This window comes from Homo sapiens, chromosome 15 (assembly GCF_000001405.40).
Source record: "Homo sapiens chromosome 15, GRCh38.p14 Primary Assembly".
NCBI classification, from domain to species: Eukaryota; Metazoa; Chordata; class Mammalia; order Primates; family Hominidae; genus Homo; species Homo sapiens.
In genome coordinates, this window is record NC_000015.10 from 35,048,049 (window position 1) to 35,054,214 (window position 6,166).

General features: G+C 45.5%; 1 annotated feature.

Moving 5' to 3' along the window:
* Positions 5,019-5,251: a silencer, noted in NCBI's record as "fragment chr15:35345268-35345500 (GRCh37/hg19 assembly coordinates)". NCBI's record gives its function as "represses an EF-1alpha promoter that drives an FKBP-Casp9 reporter gene in an ReSE screen in K562 erythroleukemia cells {active_cell/tissue: K562}" and the evidence as "EXISTENCE:reporter gene assay evidence [ECO:0000049][PMID:32094911]".

A 6,166-nucleotide genomic window follows, 5' to 3' on the forward strand; every position in this document is an offset into this window, starting at 1 on the left:
ATGTTGCAAGATTTGAGACATTGATATTTAGACAAATGTAACACTTCTGAGAAATTGTAAGATGACATAATGGAAATAGTAATAAAGTAAGTGGCAAATGTGATTTTAAAACAAGCCAGCAGTGTCTGGATTTGTCTACTGATTTATAGGAAATACATGATAAATTACATCACAGATGGGCAGTGAGGAGTATCTAGACTATGGGAAATTCTACAGGACCCAAAACCTGGTTTCCTCAACAAACAAATTGCAAGGAAGGGGTGGGGGAACCTATATAAAATACATAAAAGACTTACCAATCAATTACATGTGGACTTCATTTGTATCCCTAGTGAAACAAACACATTATAAAATAAAATTATGCCATTCTTGAAGCAGTTGAGAATTTGAAGTCTCTTACTGAATATTTAATATTAATGAATTATTGTTGATTTAATGGTATTGAGTTTATATGTTAAAAAATCCACCTTATTCTTTTTTTTTTTTTTTTGAGACGGAGTCTCGCTCTGCTGCCCAGGCTGGAGTGCAGTGGTGTGATCTGGGCTCACTGGAAGCTCTGCCTCCCGGGTTCATGCCATTCTCCTGCCTCAGCCTCCCGAGCAGCTGGGACTACAGGTGCCTGCCACCACGCCCGGCTAATTTTTTGTATTTTTAGTAGAGATGGGGTTTCACCATGTTAGTCAGGATGGTCTCAATCTCCTGACCTGGTGATCCACCCGCCTCGGCCTCCCGAAGTGCTGGGATTACAGGCTTGAGCCACCATGCCCAGCCGACCTTATTCTTTAGAGATAACACAGTGAAAATCTGCAGATGAAATGATATGAAGTCTAGAATTTGCTTCAAAATAATGCAAGAGAAAGAGAAGAGGGTGTGGATACAGACTAAATACAACTAGCTGTATTGATAACGGTTGAAGTTGAGTGATGGGTGTTAGGAAGTTTTTTGTACAAGTCTGCCTATTTTTTGCATATGTTAGAAACTCTCTTTAATAGAGAGTTTAAGTAAAATGATGTTGGCAAGATTGGTCCTTTGAGCTGTTGGTGCTTTTGTTACTGTCCTGGCCAAACTCCTATTCTAGAGCCTACCACCAGTGGAGCCCTGTAAACAAAAAACACCAATTACAGCACATGTGCAGAAGTCAGACCACAATATGACTTAAGGGAAACCTTTCCTTTAGAGCATAACATTATGGGCAAAAAAAATCCTGGCTAGACACAAAGAAATGGCTATTACTTTGAAGCACTGTAGTGAAGGGGTAGTACTCATCTCTCTTTGGAAAATATAAAACTTGGTAGGGTTTATTTGTTGTGGATAGAGAGGAGGGAAACAATGAGAAAGAATATGGTCCCAAGTCTGGCAAGGGGCAGAACTGTTCTTCCATAGTTTAAAAGGTACTGGGCCTCTTCTGGGAAGTAATTAGCATTCCTAATCAAAGGCTTGATAGATGTCACTGTGAAGAGGACCTCTTCTGGAAAGTTGGTTGGACATAGTCTTCATCCATCCTCTATTTATTCATCTTCCTTGTCTTCTTTCTTGTAACACCTCCTCTTTCTTTCTCTTTTGCATTCTATTTTTCCTCTTGTCTTCTTTTTTCCTTTTCTTCTTCTTCATAGATGTTTCTCTCAAGAGAGAATTACTTGTGTATAACTTGCTCAGAGGGCTCTGTCCTGGCAGCAAACTTGAAATGAGACTCTTGACATTTCTTGTAATCAGTTTGTCTGAGAACTTGCTTTCTTCAGTTTTTTTCATCACATAGATTATTCATTGGAACATAATAAATAATAAAAATCTTGGAGTTTCTAGTTTAGTAGCTCAAGGAAGGTGGTTAGAAGCCTGGAAGAGGTGGCAGAGAAAAAAGAATGTGGAGAGACAGGAGGCCAGCAATAAGACCAGAGGTTGGGGTCTGGGCGCAGTGGCTCACGCCTGTAATCCCAGCACTTTGGGAGCCCGAGGTGGGCGGATCATCTGAGGTCAGGAGTTTGAGACCAGTCTGGCCAACATGGTGGAACCCTGTCTTTACTAAAAATACAAAAATTAGTAGGGCTTTGCAGGGTCCTGAGGCAGGAGCATCACTTGAACCCAGGAGGCGGAGGTTGTAGTGAGCTGAGATTGTGCCACTGCACTCCAGCCTGGGCAACAGAGCAAGACCCTGTCTCAAAAAAAGAAAGAAAGAAAGAAAAAAGACCAGAGGTTAGGACTCTGCAGGGACACAGCCCAGAGAAACTGCTGTGCCTGACATTCAACTTGACCTGTGTTGAATGTTCTTTCCTGATCTGTGTTGTTATTACTCCTTTTCTCTCCCATCTTAGTAGATGACAACACCATCCCTAGGCTGAAACCTAGTCTAAAAACCTAAGTTTCATCCTCGCTTCCTCTCATTCTTTCACATCTGCAAGTCCTGTTGGCAGACCTTCAATATGTATCATAACCCAACCACTCCTCCCAGTGCCATCGCCTAAACACTGGTTCCAGCAGCCAGCTCTAGCCTGGGTTACTGTAATGGCTACCAAAGTCATCTTTCAGCTTCCACCTTTGCCTGTTTCATTCTCTTCTCAATGTAGGAGCCAGATGATCCTTCTAAAATGTAACTTAGATTGTATCACCCCTCTACTCCAGAGCCTGCAATAGTCATGTAAAAGCTAATGGTCACACTGGCCTACTGGCCCATGCAATCCACTTCCCACCTACCCCTGGCCTGTTACCCCTATGATCACATCTTGGCTCTGCCCTCGCTCGTTCCCACTGTGGCCACACTGGCTTCCTGATGTTGTCCCTAGGGACTGCACCTGCTGCTCCCTCTACCTGGGTCGTCCTTCCCCCAGACCTAGGTATGGCTGTCTCCAGTGCTGCCTTCATGACTTTATCTAACTTTTTTTTTTTTTTTGAGACAGATTCTCGCTCTGTCGCCCAGGTTGGAGTGCAGTGGTACGATCTCCGCTCACTGCAAGCTCCGCCCCCCAGGTTCATGCCATTCTCCTGCCTCAGCCTCCCGAGTAGCTGGGACTACAGGCGCCCGCCACCACGCCCGGCTAATTTTTTTTGTATTTTTAATAGAGACGGGGTTTCACCGTGTTGGCCAGGATGGTCTTGCTCTCCTGACCTCGTGATCCGCCCGCCTCGGCCTCCCAAAGTGCTGGGATTACAGGCGTGAGCCACTGTGCCCAGCCTACTTTATCTAATGTTAAGTCTCCTCAGTGAAGCCTTTTTGACTCCTCTGTTTAAACAATTAAACTCCTATGTAGATAGTAAAACCCAAAAGAAAAAAGAAAAAAAAACGAAAATAATCACACTCTCCTCCCAGCACTCTGCATCCCGTCTACTTTGTTTTTCTCTATGTACATATTACTACCAGACACAGTATATAGCATGTCATTTGTTGTATTTATTGGCCGAGAGTTTCCCCTGGAATGTAAGCTCAATGAAGGCAGAGAGTTTTGTCTCTTTTGTTTGCTGCTGAATCCCGAAGGCCTAAACAGGGCCTAGTCTATACTAGCTGCTCAATAAATATTTGTTCAATGACTGAATGAATGCCCCAAATTAGTAAAACCTTGGGTGAGTAGTGCTTTGGGTGAATGAAGCAAAGCTGAGTGCAGGGGCGATGTACTCACTTCAAGCAAAGAGATGGTAAGCTAATGATACCAAGAGTTTAGTGGAAATGGACAGTTTGAGTGAGGGTATGGAAGTTGAGCCTCTGGGAAGCCTCAGGGAAATTTTTGGACCTTTCTTCCATAGCCTGAGTCATTTTATTTGAGTTTTTTTTTTTTTTTTTTCCTGAGACAAGAGTTTGCCCAGGCTGGAGTGTAGTGGCGTGATCTCCACTCACTGCAACCTCCACCTCCTGCCTCAGCCTCAGCCTCCTGAGTAGCTGGGACTACAGGCATGTGATACCACACCTAGCTAATTCTTGTATTTTTAGTAGAGACAGGGTTTCATCATGTTGGCCAGGCTGGTCTCGAACTCCTGACCTCAGGTGATCCACCCATCTTGGCCTCCCAAAGTGCTGGGATTATAGGCATGAGCCACTGGGCCCAGCCATTTTATTTGAGTATTAAAACAAGGGCAGTCATAGAAGATTGGAAATACTTGGGAATATTTGGTTACTTTAAAAGAATTTAAAGTGGCTGGGCATGGTGGCTCACGTCTGCAATCCCAGCACTTTGGGAGGCCAAGGCAGGCGGATCACAAGGTCAGGAGTTCAAGACCAGCCTGCGCAACATGGAGAAACCCTGCTTCTACTAAAAATACAAAAATTAGCTGGGTGTGGTGGCACATGCCTGTAATCCCAGCTACTCAGGAGGTTGAGGCAGGAGAATCTCTTGAACCCGGGAAGCGGAGATTGCAGTGAGCCGAGATCGTGCCACCGCACTCCAGCCTGGGCGACAGAGCGAGACTCCGTCTCAAAAAAAAAAAGAAATTTAAAGTTACATTTTGAGAAAAGACATATTTTCTAATTCTGGACATTTATACATCTGGTGTTTTTTTCTTTCTCAGAAAAAGGTTTAAATGTTTGAAATTAGACATCTGGCAACCCTCGTAGCCAGCTTAAACAGGGCAGAGACAATCAATACTCTATTCCAGATCTGCCCAACAGAAAATACAAACTCCAGTGTTGAAGCTTTGAGAGTGAGGGTGGGAGTAGCAAGTGTGGGTGCTTGCCCTGTACATTGGCGACTTCTTTGGGGGCTCTGAGAGCGGATGGAGCAGGTGAGGAGATGCTGGTGAGGAAGGTAGAGGAGACTGGTGGGAGGATCAGGTCATCCCTGGAATAAGGCTCATTTCTAGGTTGGCCCAGTTGGCCTGCAGTGACCAGACTATAGCAGGACTCATAGAAGGAAGTGGCTATGTTAGCTGGCACTAAGTAAAAGACAAAAACCTGGCCGGGCGCGGTGGCTCACGCCTGTAATCCCAGCACTTTGGGAGGCCGAGGCGGGCGGATCACGAGGTCAGGAGATCGAGACCATCCCGGCTAAAACGGTGAAACCCCGTCTCTACTAAAAATACAAAAAATTAGCCGGGCGTAGTGGCAGGCGCCTGTAGTCCCAGCTACTCGGGAGGCTGAGGCAGGAGAATGGCGTGAACCCGGGAGGCGGAGCTTGCAGTGAGCCGAGATCCCGCCACTGCACTCCAGCCTGGGCGACAGAGCGAGATTCCGGCTCAAAAAAAAAAAAAAAAAAAAAAAAAGACAAAAACCTAATTAGGAAGGAAAAGCAGCTCTAATGCGTAAGTAGAAATAATGCACGTCCGTGCCCTGCCTCCAGCCGCTTTTGCGAATCTCCCCATGGTCAAGGTGAGATCAGCAGGCCCGTCTCTCTCCCCTTCCAGTAATCTTTCAGTCCACAGATTGCACATTTGAGGCTGTTCTCACTCTCACTCCCCAAATTACCTTCTAAGGTTTTTCTTGATGTTCATTTTTGTCTTGTGTAAAAATATTGAGGCCCACATTTTCTAGGCATAGTTGTGTTGCTGACTAAACCTAAAAGTGGGTGCATAAGACCAAAAAATTGATTGATACTCTATGCTAATGTTGGAGAAGGAGTGGCACAACATGGTAGGCAGAGTTCGGGCCTCCAGGGGTCTTGCCCAGCTTCCACGATGCCCTGAAGGTATCCAGGAGGAACACTGACCATGCTGAGGGTGTTGATGGGAAAGCTTGCCCGAGGGCTAACTGAGATCTGTGCCCATGTGTGTCTGTGGTGTCAGTGTATGTGTCTAGGGGAGGCAGGATGAGCAAAGAAGAAAAATCGTACTTTAGCTGATGGCAGTGCTGGTCTGCAGCCCAAATGAGATTTGTAGGAAGACCTCCTCAGAGACTCCAGCAAGAACCTGAACAAGAGGGAAGTGAGGCTGCTAAGTAGCCGGGAGGCACCACCCAGCTCTGGCCAAGTCTAAAGAAATCAGAGGACAAGGCACAAACAACAGAAGCAGCAGACCTTAGCAGGGCAGCAGTACCCGGGTGGACAAATGACAAGAACGTGCAGATCAGGGGGCTAGAGGACATCATGCTTGAGGTCTCTGACCCCATCCATCATGAAATTGCAAAGTTTCTGGACAAACAACCCAATTCTACATGCATTCATGTAGTCTAATGCCATCTTAGAGAGGAGCCGGTAGAAGACCAATAAATCACCAAACACTTTTATCTAGAGAAATGGAGCATTAAACAAAG